Here is a 15543-nt window from a genome sequence, read left to right on the forward strand (position 1 = left end):
CTAGTTTTATATCTTATACTACTTTTTACTCCATATTTTATATTGCTGACAGGCTAACAGTTGGGTTGAATAGATCTGTATGTTTATTTTTATGCATGTACATATTTGTATGACTACGTTTATTTCCCATTTAAAGGTAGAAAAGACTTATCTTTACAAAGTTTTCACCCCACCCATTTTTGGCTTAAATAAAAGAAGACAAGTGGTTTTTTTTTTTTTTTTTTTTTTAGTGTAGACAGCCCAGGCTGGAGTGTGGTGGCATGATCTTGGCCCACTGCAACTGCAACCTCGGCCTCCAGGGTTCAAGCGATTCTTGTGCCGCAGCCTCCTGAGTAGCTGGGACTACAGGCGCCTGCCATCATGCCTGGCTAATTTTTTGTATTTTTAGTAGAGACAGGGTTTCGCCACGTTGGCCACGCTGGTCTTGAACTTCTGAGCTCAGGTATTCTGCCTGCCTCAGCCTCCCAAAGTGCTAGGATTGCAGGCGTGAGCCACCACGCCTGGTAGGAGTACAAAGTCTTTCTAAGGTGACTGACAATTTTTGGAATCAGGTTTTACAGATTGAGGGAGGTTTTTGTGTATATTTTGTTGTCTACATCATCACCTGAGATTAACAGTAGCTAATAATAACAGCTTTTATTTCTTGAGCACTTTTCTTTTTTCTTTTTTCTTTTTTTTTTTTTTTTTGAGACGGAGTTTTATTCTGTTGCCCAGGCTGGAGTACAATGGCATGATCTCGGCTCATTGCAACCTCTGCCTCCCGGGTTCAAGCAGTTCTCTCTGCCTCAGCCTCCTGAGTAGCTGGGACTACAGGCTACTGCCACCATGCCTGGCTAATTTTTCTATTTTTAGTAGAGACGGGGTTTCGCCGTATTGGCCAGGTTGGTCTTGAACTCCTGACCTCAGATGATCTGCCTGCCTCAGCCTCCCAAAAGTGCTGGCATTACAGGCGTGAGCCACCGCAACTGGCCTGTAATCTCAGCTGCAACTGAGCACTTTTCTGAGCCAGACACTGTTCCATGACCTTTACATGTATTATTTCATTTCATCTCCACAGTAAACCTTGGGAGGATGGTTTCATTATTATCCTCATTTTACAGATGAGGAAACTGAGGCACAGAGAAGTAATTTGCCCAGGTTCACAGAGGGAGAGCCAGGCTCTAACCCAGTGTTTGACTCTAAAACCAGGTTTTCCTCAGTATTGACAAAAATGTTTTGTGAACCTTTCTACCTTCTTGACTACAAAGTGATAGGATTTATATTTTCATGGGTAATAGCTGAAATGTATCTTTAGCTATCCTAATCATTATAGTGTAGCCTATATGGAGAATTAAATAGCCTCTCAAATGTCAAAGCAAGCACATTAAGGAAGGATCTATGTAGAAAGAAAATGCTAATAGTGTGATAACTAGTTTGTTTGTTGATCCTGTGCCTGCATTGACTTTCTTGCAAAATTCATATAGTTACAGGGAATGTTGTTATGTAATGAATTGACTAGTAGTAGTTTTTCCAGCTACGGTCAGTTGATCAGGTTTCTCTTCTTAAGTGTTTGGAAGATCTGCAGTTTGGGAAGGGAATAGATACAGGGGAGATCTTTGAGCAGATGCATTGACATGTGTACTCATTGGGAACTATTTCCTCCAGTGGTGAGCAACCTGAAGCCTTTCTCAGTGTAGCTTTTCAAGAGTCCTAGATCCAATTTCATAGACATCCTTTCAGAGCATGCACAGCAGAGGTGAAATGGAGGAGAAGCGTGTAGGGCAAAACTACCTTCTTCAAAGAAGGGAGAAACTTTGTAGAATCACTGGTTCCTAGACGCTTGTGTTTTGGCCAGGCCCTGGCCAGCAAAGGCTAGCCAAAGGCATGCTTTGGAGGAGAGGTAGTATCAAGTTTTTTTAGAGTAGACCGTGAAGGTGCCAGAAACTAAGGTGCACTGACAGCTTGGTCTATGGGGAACCTGGCTGCATTGGTTCAGGTCCCCACTTGTCCCACTTGCCTGGCCTAAACACACCCCTGGCACGGAGAAAGAGGATGAGACTCACTGCTGGATCCCTAGCACCTGGCCCATAACAGGTTTTTTGTGAAAGTTGTACTGAATGAATTGAAATAATTCTAGTCCCTGGTCTACCTTCTATAGTTTAAGCAGCAAAGGGGTTGTAGGGACGTTTAAAGGGAGAATATAAGAACAAAAGACTAGAACACACTGCCTCTCTTGCCACCTAAAAAAGTCATGCAAATTTCTCACTGTCATTTTATTCAGTGAAGCAGGAATCTCACTCTTAAGCCTGTGGAATTCATTAAATTTGTTTTCTTTCTGAATAAAAATAAATGGGACCCATAGACATCTTTGTTTTTTTCCAAACCGGCCCTTGTGCAGAGAAGGTTGTTGTTGCTAATTTTAGTCCTTGTGATGTATGGTGGAATTTATTCATGTATTTGCAGATAATACTGGACTACTGGAAAATCAAACTAGTTTGATCAAACTAGTTTGGGGTATATCCCAACACATTGCCAACACATGTTTCTTGGGTGATGCATTATGAATGCATTATCCAAGGATTTATCTAATCTTTGTTTGAGGTGGTTGTTACTTTCAGGTTCTTAGGGTAATGAGTTTGGAAAGTTGTAATTTAAGCTGTACTTCCTTTTTCATTCCCAAACCATGACTTTTCTTTTTTTTAAATAATAGAGACAGGGTCTCACTATGTTGGCCAGGTTAATCTTGAACTCCTGGCCTCAAGCAGTCCTCCTGCTCAGCCTCCCAAAGTTCTCAGATTACAGGCATGAGCCACTGCACCTAATAGCAGAATCAATCTGCTATTGATTCAATACATTCTCAGAATCATAGTCCAACCTTGTTTTGGCATGGTTTTATGGGGAATTAAATGCATGAGATCTTTACAAGCTGTGTTACTATGTCTCTGTGTGTCTTTTTGTAAACGGTTCTTTTCCTGTTCAAATATATTTTAAAACATAACCTTTAGAAATCTACATTTGCAAACAGAAGTTTGAGAAGTAGCAGCAATGTCACAGAGCCTTTAGTCAATCTAAGTCCTTAGCTGATGTAAGTCATAATCATTATGTGTCAGCTGCCCATAATTGAGCTGAGGAGAACATTTGAATCAGTATGTTTAACAACATAGGGAACTAATAATTGTTAAAGGTTATCAGTAGCTATTGATAATACATTAAGTGATAATGTATAAATAGTATTTTTAAAGTGAGGATAAACACTGAACATTCAGCATTACAGTACCTTCACAAGACATACTGGTAGTACCTTAATTAAATCACATGTTTTTAGGATGACTCATTTTCTGGTTGTTGGAGACTCTTAAGGGATCTGCTTTCATTCACAAAATAGCATCCACACATTCTTTCTTTGGTAAGTCTGAAATACAGGTTGATTTTAGGTCAGTGTTCCCTGATATTTTTTTCTTTTAAGTTATTTTATTTTAATTTCAGTTTCCTTCAAGTTTACCCTTGCATTTTTTTAACTTGATAGTGGGATACTTTAAAATACTAAGCCAATTTTCTTTATGAATCTCATTCTTTGAAACAGCTTTTCACTTTGAAGTTAACACTGAATTTCAAATTTTACAATTTCTGCAATGTCAATATGTACGATTTGAAGCAGTTATCTAACTGAAATGTTAGGAAATTTAAAACATGCCATCATGCTCTCAATTTTAGTAATTTGCAGGTATAATATTGATGTTTCACAGTATCATTATATATTGTTTTTATGCCAGATATAAACATTCTCTTATTTCCAGCTTAAAGAATGTCCCTTCCCCCAGGGAGCAACTGTGGTGGGTGGACCCGGGAGTTGAGCAGAGTAACAGTCTCTTTTCTAGGCAGGGACTTCCAGAATTCATCTGTGTAGCTGTGTCATTTACTCCCATTTGCACCTTTCAAATACTTTTCTTGAAGAAGCAGCCCTCATCCCCCAACATCTAACTAATTTAGTATTATATTTATTTCTCCTAACAAATTACATCGCCTAAAATTCTGTGGGCCAGGCGCAGTGGCTCATGCCTGTAATCCCAGCCACTTTGGGAGGCTGAAGTGGGCAGATCACCTGAGGTCAGGAGTTTGAGACCTGCCTGGCCAACATGGTGAAACACTGTCTCTACTGAAAATACAAAAATTAGGCGGGTGTGGTGGCGAGCGCCGGTAATCCCAGCTTCTCTGTTAATAACTCTAAAATGAGGAAAGGAAAATACCAATTCTTAGCTCATCTGTGCTTTGATTTAGCTCTCAAAATCTTGTTTTTGAAAGTGATATCAAAAGACAGTTTTGGGGACAGCAAAAGGTGAGGGATATATCCCAACACATTGCCATATTTCTTGGGTGATGCATTATGAATGCATTATGAATGCATCACCCAAGGATTTATCTAATCTTTGTTTGAGGTGGTTGTTACTTTCAGGTTCTTAAGGTAATGAGTTTGGAAAGTTGTAATTTAAGCTGTACTTTTTCATTCCCAAACCATGACTTTTCTATTTTTTAAATAATAGAGATGGGTTCTCACTATGTTGGCCAGGTTAGTCTTGAACTTCTGGCCTCAAGCAGTCCTCCTGCCTCAACCTCCCAAAGTTCTCGGATTACAGGCATGAGCCACTGCACCCAGCCCAAACCATGACTTTTAAATGTGTAGGTTTCCTGTACTGGTATTAAGTGGTATACAGTTAAGTCTATACCTTTCATAGTTGTATTCATTTCCATCAGGTCCTCCTAGGCTGAAATGTCCTAATTACACTGTGGGACCTTTCATGAAAGTCCTTTTGTTTAGTTGTCCTCTGTTCCTTTTTGAGTTGCTTTGGGTCTTTTCTTGAGATGTGACAGTTAGGACTTTATGCTTCATATAGAGAATCAACAATTTTGTGTTTGGATATTGTAGAGTTTAAGAACCAATTTCTAATTTCCTTCATGATGATCAAAACTTTGTGGCCGTCTTGCTGTGCTGGAATTAGATCCCTTTTTAAATAAAAATGTCTAGAAATTTTTAATTTTTTTAGAGACAGGGTCTTGCTCTGCCACCCAGGCTGGAATGTGGGATAGCTCACTGCAGCCTCGAACTCCTGGGCTCGGGTGATCCTCCCGCCTCAGCCTCCTGAGTAGCTAGGATTACATGTGGGCACCACCACACCTGGCTAATTTTTTTACAACATTTTTTATAGAGACAGAGTCTTGCTATGTTGTCCAGGCTGGTCTCAAACCCCTGGGCTCAAGTGATCCTCCTCTCTGGGCCCCCCAAAGTGCTGGGATTACAGACATGAGCCACTGTGCCTGGCCTGGAAATTAAGTTTCTTTTCTAGGTGGTATCTTTAATCTTTTAAATATTCTTGTGGTTACTTTTTGAAGTGTATTTCCTTCTGCTAGTTTAGACCAGCTTTTATGCCGCCTCCCTATATTATGAGATCTTTATGCAGTTTGTATTACTTTATTATGTGAGAGTTTAAAGTTGTATGTGCTACAGGCATCATCTTTCAGTCAGACTAAGACCAAGTTACTAATACAGGTCCTTCCCAGTGACCTATATATAATCATTTAGACCAGTGATTCTCAAGCTGGCTGTACAGTAGAATCACCAGGGGGAGATTTAAAGAATACCTATTCCAGGGCCCCGCCCTAACCAATTGAGACCATCTCTGATGCTCAGGGATTAGTATTATAAAGCTCCTAGATGATGATAATGAGCAGCCAGCACTGATAACCCTGAATTAGATTTAAGACTGGGAAATCACCAGCTGCTAGAACTTCTAAATTGGATTAGCTCTTTAGCTTGTGGAATGCTGGAGAATAATTACCATTAGACAGTTCAAGGAAATGTGTATCAAACTTTGCATTTATAAGATAGCACCTGAATCAAATTATTCCTTACCCAATTCTGAGAATTAAAGCATAAATGAGCTAACAATTGGAACTTTTAGTTTCTCATTCTAAAACCCTTTTCCTTATCTGTTTGATTTTGTGTTGGTGATTGTCTTTTTAGAGCCGTAATATCCTTTGTCTTTAGCAGGAAATGAAATATGGGTCTGATTATTTATGCATACTCTGATACCTTTTTTTTTTCTTTTAAGACACAGTGAAAGTGCCTATAGGCTTCAGCAGCTGTGCTTTAAAACCCAGGCTTGTTCTTGGGCTGAGGGAGTGCCTTCATTCTTCCATCTTGGAATGAGTGACTCATGCTCTGTGCAGGCACACAGTACTTAATCACTTGTTTTCTGTGTACCAGGAAGAGGAGGGCATATGAAAATAGAAGCCATGTACTGCCAAATGGATCTGAAATAAGAGTGAAAATGTTGACCTGATGGGTCAAACAATTGAGCTTATTGCAAATACTTATGACTTAGGGTGTATGTTGCATTATTATTTCACTAAAATTTGGCATTATTTCAAAAAGGCTATACTTTTGTAATTTGTAAGCAACTCTTTTCCTTATAGATAACGTTGATGATCTTAAATTTTACAATTTATTTGTGAATTTTAAATTTTTCTTTTTTTGAATTTGTATGCCACATTAGAGTATACCTTCTGAAGGAAAGATTAGAAAACAATACATTTGTTGGATTAGATCAGTTACATGGTTATTCTTTGCAGAAGGATAGTATGAGCCCGCTGGCCATTTTCTCTGCCATTCCAGTGCCTTCTGCCCCCAGAGTAGCCATTAATATGATCAGTAGGATATCTACTACTAAGGGCATTTGCTGCATATGCCTGGAATAATACTGTCTACACATGTCCTCTGTACAGACAGACTCTTTAATGCCAACTTGTTTTATTTCTTTAGTGAAGAGCCACAGATTTTAAATACACACACACACACACACACACACACACATTTTGAAGTGTCAGCTGTATGCCAGGCGCTATACCAGGCAGCGAAGTCAGAGCAGCTCGACACAACACACACAGTCTCCCTTCTTGTGTCAGTTACAGTACCTGCTTCAGGCCTTCCTCTATTGTTTTGTGTTTCTTATCTCTATATTAGTATGAGAAGTTTTGTGTACCTGCTAGAGTTTTCAAGATAATATAAAAATTTCAGGATAATTTAAATTGCCCAGGCCAGGCATGGTGGCTCATGCCTGTAATCCCAGCATTTTGGGAGGCTGACGTGGGAGGATCACTTGAGTCCAGGAGTTTGAGACCAGGCTGGGCAATATAGATAGACCTTATCTCTACTAAGAAAAAAAAAAAAATGAGGTGGGCATCATGGCGTGTGCCTGTATTCCCAGCTACTTGGGAAGCTGAGGTGAGAGGATTGATTGAGTCCAGTTGGAGGCTGCAGTGAGTTATGATCAAGCTGCTGCACTTCAGTCTGGGTAGCAGAGTGAGACCTTGTCTCAAGGGGAAAAAAAAAATTGCCCAGAAGTTTTAGGTGAGTCTTTCATTTTGAGCAACCATATTCTAATCATGTGTAATATTTATTGAAAGATAAATGCTTTTATTATTAAAAGCACCTGAAATTAAAAATCCAAGCTCATTCCTGGTTTGTATAAAAGAAGAAAATAAATACATAAATAAAAGTGCCTGCATAGCAAAGACTGATATTTTGGGGCTAACTTCAAAAACAATAAAAACTTTAGATGGTATTCTTATTACACGTCAATGAAAACAAGCAATTGGTAGGAAAAACATTTTTATTATTTGATGCTTATTTTTTAAATTTTGTTCAATAACTATTGAATGAGTGCCTGTTATGCTGGACTGCAGGTATGTAGTGGTAAACTGTAAATAGCCATAGAATTAAATAAACTGATGGAGGGATTCAGACTTAATAGTCTGTCTGTATTTATTTCTTTATTTTTTTTGAGATAGGGTCTTCATTTGCCACCCAGGCTGGAGTGCAGTGGCGTGATCATGGGTCACTGCATCCTTGACCTCCTGGGCTCAGGTGATCCTCCCACTTTAGCCTTCTAGGTGGCTGGAACTACAGGTGCCTGGCTAATTTTTTGTATTTTTTTGTAGAGACGGTGTTTTGCCATGTTGCCCAGACTGGTCTTGAACTCCTGGGCTCAAGCAATCTGCCTGTCTCAGCCTCCCAAAGTGTTGGTTTACAGGTGTAAGCTACCACACCCAGTCAGTAGTCTGTCTTTTCATTGGTTAGTTGAAACTGTTTACATTTATTGTAACTACACATGTATTAGAAGTTATTTCTACCTTTTATTTATGTTTTCCATTTATTATGCTTTTCTTAATTTTTTTCCCCCTATTTTCTATTGGATAACTGAAATTTTGTCAGGTATTGTTGCCATTAAAATTTACACTTTCTATTTATATTCTTCTGTAGTTTCCCCAGCCTTAGGACCTTGTACTTACTCACATATGGAACTGGAGTTTACCAGTATCCATGTCTTTCCCAAGCATGTTTTTACCTCCCTTGAGATTCTGCCTTTTCTAGATTCTCCCTCTCTCCTGTGTATGTAGCGGGTGTGGGGGCAGGGCAGGAAGTTGGCAGTCATGCTCGATTTACCATTTGGACCAGAATTTGGTTGTTGGGACTGAATGCTGGATGCCCAGTTTTATGCTGTATCAGAGCTGCAGGTCAATGTTTCCCATTCTGAGAAAATAGAATTCTGGGGCATATCTAGGCATTAAGATATTTGCGTGAAGCATTTATTACTCTGAGAAGGCTTTCAGGAATTATGGTCCTACCATGAGGTTTAATAATTGAAAAATGTATTGAAGTTGGGTTTTTTCTTTCATACTTTTTTCTTTTTTTTTGAGACGGAGTTTCACTCTTTCGCCCAGGCTGGAGTGCAGTGGTGCCATCTTGGCTCACTGCAACCTCCGCCTTCTGGTTTCAAGTGATTCTCCTGCCTCAGCCTTCCGAGTAGCTGGGATTACAGGCACCTGCCACCACACCCAGCTAATTTTTGTGTTTTTAGTAGAGACAGGGTTTCACCATGTTGGCCAGGCTGGTCTCAAACTCCTGACCTCATCATCCTCCTGCCTCGGCCTCCCAAAGTGCTGGGATTACAGGCGCGAGCCACTGTGCCCGGCCCCATACTTTTTTCTTTGAAGCCATATGAAGACCCTTAAATTATGGAGAGGTTACTGAATGGTAGGAGCCTGGAGTTTTAAATACATACACATTTCTCAACTTGATGTGAAAGTTACTAACATTTATTATGTGACGGATGCTGGGCACTTTTCACATAATCCTCATGAAAACCTGGGACTACAGGTGTCCGGCTAAGTTAGATGGAATTCTGTTTACGAAGGAGGAAACTGAAGCTGAGAGGGGTTCAGAGACTGTAGTAGAGCTAGGATTCTTCACCCAGGACACCAAATGCAGACTACATCTATAGCACATCCAAGTAGCTGAATTCTGTCCAGCTTTCCAGTTCTACAGTCAGCCCCAGGTCACCCTTGCACATTCTTTCCTGTCACCTGGCTCTCTGGCTTCAGGCCCCTTCATGTTCATCCTCTACAGATTTGTCCTGTGTTCTATCTCAAATCCAAATCTGCCCTGCTGGAGGAAGCGGCTCCTGAATTTACTACCTGTTGTCCCGCTGAGTGGGTTCCTGTTTAGTTCTTCAGCCTCATTCTTCCTGCTCCCTGTCTTATTCTGCATGGCCAGCAGTACCAAACTATTTGGAGTCTTCTTTGCCTTCAGTGGACATCTGAGTGTCTGCTATGTGTTAAGCAGCCTGCTAGAGGCCAACAACAGCTTTTTATTTTTATTTATTAATTTTAATTTTTATTTTTTCTTGAGGTGGAGTTTTGCTCTTGTCACCCAGGCTGGAGTGCAGTGGCGTGATCTTGGCTCATTGCAACCTACGCCTCCTGGGTTCAAGCCGTTCTCTTGCCTCAGCCTCCCAAGTAGCTGGGATTACAGGTGCTCATCAGCATGCCTGGCTAATTTTTGTATTTTTAGTAGAGACAGGGTTTCACCATGTTGGCCAGGTTGGTCTCAAATTCCTGACCTCAGGTGATGCACCCACCTCAGCCTTCCAAAGTGTTGGGATTACAGGCGTGAGCCACCGTGCCTGGCCATTATTTATTTTTTTTGAGATGGAGTCTCACTCTGTTGCCGATTAGTCAGATCTCAGCTCACTGCAACCTCCGCCTCCCAGGTTCAAGTGATTCTCCCACCTGGTGCTCCCAAGTAGCTGGGATTACAGGTGCTTGCCACCACGCCTGGCTAATTTTTGCATTTTTAGTAGAGATGGGGTTTCCTCATGTTGGCCAGACTGGTCTCGAACTCCTGGCCTCAAGTTCTTCAGCCTCATTCTGGTCTCCCAAAATGCTGGGTTTACAGGCATAGAGCCACTGCGCCCGGCCCGACGACAGCTTTTTATTTGTTATTTTACTTATTTATTTATTTATTTTTTGAGACAGAGTCTCGCTCTGTTGTCCAGGCTGGAGTGCAGTGGCGCGATCTCAGCTCACTGCAACCTCTGCCTCCCGGGTTCAAGCAATTCTCTACTTTAGTTTCCCGAGTAGCTGGGATTACAGGCACTCGCCACCATGCCTGGTTAATTTTTTTTGTATTTTTAGTAGAGACAGGGTTTCACCATCTTGGCCAGGCTGGTCTTGAACTCCTGACCTCGTGATCCACCTGCCTTGGCCTCCCAAAGTGCTGGCATTACAGGCATGAGGCACTGCGCCTGGCCAGACAACAGCTTTTTAAATGATCAAGATGGTGAAGGTCTTGGCCCTGGGCAAGGATAGTAGCAGTAGGGGTCAAGAGAAGTGAAAGATTCATCAGTTATTGAGGAGATACCTCCAATAGGACTTGGCAAGAAAAAAAGGCATTTTGGAGTACCTGGGATGATGGTGGTGAGCTGAAAGCCCCATACAAACATGAGAGAATTGCACCAGAAAGAATCTGGTAGAGAAACTTATGGTGTTAGAAAGAGCCCTGGTCTGGCTTGGTGCGGTAGCTCACGCCTGTAATCCCAGCACTTTGGGAGGCTGAGGTGGGTGGATTACCTGAGGTCGCAAGTTTGAGACCAGTCTGACCAACATGGTGAAACCTCGTCTCTACTAAAAATACAAAATTAGCCCGGCGTGGTGGCACAGGCCTGTTATCCCAGCTACTTGGGAGGCTAAGGCAAGAGAATTGCTTGAACCCGGGAGGTGGAGGTTGCCATGAGCCGAGATCGCGCCATTGCACTCCAGCCTGGGCGACAAGAGTGAAACTCCATCTGGCTAAGAAAAAAAGAAAGAAAGAAAGAGCCCTAGTCTGAGAGTGGGAAAGTGTTTTGATGTTAACAAGCTGTGCAGTGTTGGGCAGTTACTTTACCTATGCCAGCTTTAATGTCTTTGTCTCAAATAGACCAGATGAGATGACTTGACTTTTGCCACCTTAAGTAGTAAATCCTTCCAACTTGATTCTGTGATGACTTTAGCTTTTGCCACTTTAAGTAGTAAATCCTTCCAGCGTGATTCTGTGCAAATGATCTGATTTCAACTTGCCTCCCCCCTTTCTACATCATATGTTTACCTATCCATTTGGGAGCCTTCTGTGTACCATGCACTGGGAACAGAAGCTCGAGGAGACAAGGTCTAAGTGAGCTTCCTCTTCCTCATGAGTTCCTGTTCAGTCAAGGAGACAGGCAAGTCAGTAATGACATGCACTAAACCAAAGTAAGATGCCGTGATGGGAATATGCACAGGGTTTAGGGGATCCACACGAGAGAGTCTGGTCAGCTCTGCTGGGTGTGGGTGGAGTGGGGAATGTGTCCGGGAAGAGGACTGACCCTTGTTCTAAGTCTAGAATGAAGGGCAGGCAGAAGTGGGTGGGGAGTCGGATTCCAGGCCCAGGCTGCACATAGTTCAGGATGACTGAAGGCTAGGTTGCTGGGGGCGGGGGGCGGGGGGGGGGATGGAAAGGACTAGCCTATGCAGGGTCTCACAAGCCTTTCCAAGGAATTTGGACTTTATTCCCAAGGCTGTGGGAGGTGGACAGGTAGTTAGCAATATTCATATTTATCCCTTTTTAATGCCTAATGTGTTTCTTTCACAATATTAATGTTATACCAACTAGACTTTAGGGCAAAAAGTATTATTTGAAATAAAACCAGTTATTACGTCCTGATAAGCAGAGCAGTTCACCAGGAAAATATAATAATCTTGAGAGATATAAAAATAAGGAAGAAAATAAAGCATGAGATTTTAAAAAGTAAGACCTCTCTCAAAAACTAACAGGTGAAGCAGTCAGAAAAATTAGCAAGTACGTAGAGGGGTTGAACAAAATAATTCACAAGGCTGTACCAGAAACAAAAGTTTCATTAAATATTTCTCCATACACTGTGGTTTTTGTTTTCTCTTCTATTCTGTTTTAGTGCTATTAATGCTGATCTCTTTATAAGAAATTGATTTGATGACCCACTGATGGATTGACTCCCCCCCTTTTTCTTGACAACACTGAGTTAAAAAATATACATGCATTTCAAGCACACATAGAACACTTGCAAATTGACTTGTCAAATTCCTTTCCCACACCTAGCCTCCAGTGCCCCATTATCCTCCATCCTTCCCCTTGCTAAAACAAAGACGACTTTGACTCCTGTTTTTACTGAGTCAAGGGCATAGGATACACGCATCTGCTTCTCTTCTCCATTTCTGTGTTTAGCCTTTCATCTTTTTTTCCAGACTTAGAAGAAAAAAATAGTATCTTCTTTCCTTTCCAAGGTTAGCTTTTATACCTGTAGCATTTTTTTTTGTCATCTGTCTTCTTTTCCTTCTTCATCATCTTATCTCTTTCTTGTTTTTGTTTTATTTTGAGATGGAGTCTCGCTCTGTCCCCCAGGCTGGAGTGCAGTGGCACCATCAGAGCTCACTGCAGCCTCAAATTCCTGGGCTCAAGTGATCCTCCTGCCTCAGCCTCCTGAGTAGCTGGGACTACAGGTGCGTGCCGCCACACCTGGTTAATATTTTGTAGAGGCAGGGGATCTTGCTGTCTTGCCCAAGCTGGTCTCACACCCCTGACCTCAAGTAATCATCCTGCTTCAGCCTCGTAAAATGCTGGGATTACAGGCATGAGCCACTGAGCCTAGTCCCTCCTCTCGTTCTTAAATCCAGTTATTTCTTCTTGATCATCTCATCATGAACTCAGTCTTATGGGTTTAACTGGTTTTCATTCTCGACTACTAATGACTATTGTTTTTAGTCATTAGACCACAACACAGACATTTTTATAGTTTTTTTTCTTTTTTTTTTTTAAGTCGAAATCTTATTTTCTTGACTGGATGATGCATTTACATGGTTCACAATGCCAAAGATGGAAAAGGGTATTGAATGAGGAGGTTCTCATCGGCCCTTCCTTTCAGCTGCTGTATACGCTATCCTTTCTGCCATGCTCCCTCTTGTTCTTTCCCATTCAGGAGAGAATAGGTGTCTCAGTGAGTGTCATCTTTGATTTCCCCTCTCCCTATCCTCCACATAGCTTCTTTTGAGGACTTTCATGTTCATCTCCTCCTGTGGATTCTTCACCCACTACCAGCTCACTCCCTAAGCTCTTTTTCTTTTTTTGTTTTTTGTTTTTAAATCTTTTTTTGTTATTTTTTCTTTTTTTTTTCTCGATCTCTTTTTTTCCATGACCTTTCATGTCATTTCAAGCCAAGACTTTTGCAGTAACCCAAGTGGGTTTCTTACTCCCAATCTCCACCTCTTTTCAAATACTATTTCATGAAACTTTTGTTTCTGGTACTTACATACATCTATGAGTTCACTAGGTGTTGATGTAGAAGTATCTCTTACAATGGACCTTCTGAACGACTGAAAACACGATTTAACTTTTGGGTAAGGTTTCCTTAGTTACATCAACCTTGTGATGTAATCCCTGGCCGTAATCTTATTTTACTTATGTTATTATCTGCTTGCCATGGTCTCCAGGAAGCTCAGGCTCATTCCTTTTTTTTTTTTTTTTTTTTTTTGAGATGAAGCCTCACTCTGTTAGCCAGGCTGGAGTGCAGTGTCGTGATCTCGGCTCACTGCAACCTCCACCTCCTGGGTTCAAGCGATTCTCCTGCCTTAGCCTCCTGAGTAGCTGGGATTACAGGTATGCGCTACCATGCCCGGCTAGTTTTTGTATTTTTAGTAGAGATGGGGTTTCACCATGTTGGTCAGCCTGGTCTTGAACTCCTGACCTGTGATCCGCCCGCCTTGGCCTCCCAAAGTGCTGGGATTACATGTGTGAGCCACCGTGCCCGACCAGGCTCATTACTGTTTATTCAAGTTTTTCCACAGTTGGCCTTAGTTTACTTTTCTAGCATTATCAATTCATATCTCCAGTGTACCTACTGGTCTTCTGTTATTTACACTGTTTGCTTCATTATTTTTGTATCATCTTAACGTGATACAGTGTCTGGTTCCTGGCAAGTACTTGATATGTGTTTCTCCAATGATGGGACACATACCAGAACAAATCTTGTACTTTTTTGTCTGCTGTATTATTTTTCTTGCTGCTGTCCTTATGCCTGATGCGCCACTTCTTCTACATGACTCTCCGTGACTGCTTTAACTCTGTTTTTTCCTTCCTTTTCTGTATTCCTAAAGCTTATTTGGTACCCAAGGGTTAGAGTCCTACAACTGTGGTCTGTTCATCTAAGGTCAAGGTGGTAGGGTTCTGGGTAGCTGGAGCTCTTTCCTTAGCAGGGGCATCTGTGTTGGCAGATGTTGAGACATGGTCTGCCTGATACAGGGATTCTGGCTCACTATTTGGAAAGAAATCAGGGTATCTTTATTCCACTGGCATTAGGGTTAAGTAGTTAACAACTAACAGAGATGAAATCAGTAAATACGGTAACTGATACTAAGGAACAGCTTTGTAAGCCAAAAGATATAAAAATTAAAAACTGAAAATATTTGCAAACATGTCAAAGAGTTGAAGTCCTTAATGTGAAAGGAACTTGTAAGTCAATGAAAGATATAAAGAAAAATTAGGAGGCATGAACAAGAAAATCATAGAAGATGACATGACATATAAGCAGCCAAATTTTTTTTTTTTTTTTTTGAGACAGAGTCTTGCTCTGTCGCCCAGGCTGCAGTTGAGTGCAGTGATGTAATCTCAGCTCACGGCAACCTCTACTTCCCGGATTCAAGCGATTCTTGTGCCTCAGCCTCCCAAGTAGCTGGGATTATAGGCGTGTGCCAACACGTTCAGCTAATTTTTGTATTTTTAGTAGAGATGGGGTTTCTCCATGTTGGCCAGGCTGGTCTCGAACTCCTGACCTCAAGTGATCCTCCTGCCTCGGCCTTCCGAAGTGCTGGGATTATAGGCATGAGCCACCATGCCCGGCCATAAGCAGCCAATTTTATAATTAAGTGTTTAATCTTATCAGCAATAGAAAGGAAATAAACATCATGTTAGGCAATAGATGCCAGATGCCATCAAATTAGCAAAATTAGATAAATTCTAAATTTTTAACTCAAAATTATTAATTTTTTTTTTTTGAGACAGAATCTTGCTCTGTCCCCCAGGCTGGAGTGCAGTGGTATGATCTCAGTTCACTGCAGCCTCCACTCCTGGTTCAAGCAATTCTCATGCCTCAGCCTCCCAAGAAGCTGGGATTACAGGCACGCACC

The 15543-nt window shown here is 41.4% G+C and overlaps 1 protein-coding gene across 26 annotated transcripts in view, besides 3 other annotated features; it reads left to right on the forward strand.

Annotated features, from left to right (window-relative positions):
• Window positions 1-15543, forward strand: part of INPP5F (inositol polyphosphate-5-phosphatase F) — a 103098-nt gene that overhangs the window by 5781 nt on the left and 81774 nt on the right. The gene's annotated exons all lie outside the window — the stretch shown is intronic.
• Window positions 1402-1902: an enhancer, noted in NCBI's record as "H3K27ac hESC enhancer chr10:121492744-121493244 (GRCh37/hg19 assembly coordinates)". NCBI's record gives its function as "activates a minimal SCP1, AML or CMV promoter by ChIP-STARR-seq in primed H9 embryonic stem cells {active_cell/tissue: H9 hESC(primed)}" and the evidence as "EXISTENCE:reporter gene assay evidence [ECO:0000049][PMID:30033119]".
• Window positions 6299-6844: an enhancer, noted in NCBI's record as "H3K27ac hESC enhancer chr10:121497641-121498186 (GRCh37/hg19 assembly coordinates)". NCBI's record gives its function as "activates a minimal SCP1, AML or CMV promoter by ChIP-STARR-seq in naive H9 embryonic stem cells {active_cell/tissue: H9 hESC(naive)}" and the evidence as "EXISTENCE:reporter gene assay evidence [ECO:0000049][PMID:30033119]".
• Window positions 6845-7390: an enhancer, noted in NCBI's record as "H3K27ac hESC enhancer chr10:121498187-121498732 (GRCh37/hg19 assembly coordinates)". NCBI's record gives its function as "activates a minimal SCP1, AML or CMV promoter by ChIP-STARR-seq in naive H9 embryonic stem cells {active_cell/tissue: H9 hESC(naive)}" and the evidence as "EXISTENCE:reporter gene assay evidence [ECO:0000049][PMID:30033119]".

Source organism: Homo sapiens, chromosome 10 (genome assembly GCF_000001405.40).
Source record: "Homo sapiens chromosome 10, GRCh38.p14 Primary Assembly".
Lineage (NCBI taxonomy): Eukaryota > Metazoa > Chordata > Mammalia > Primates > Hominidae > Homo > Homo sapiens.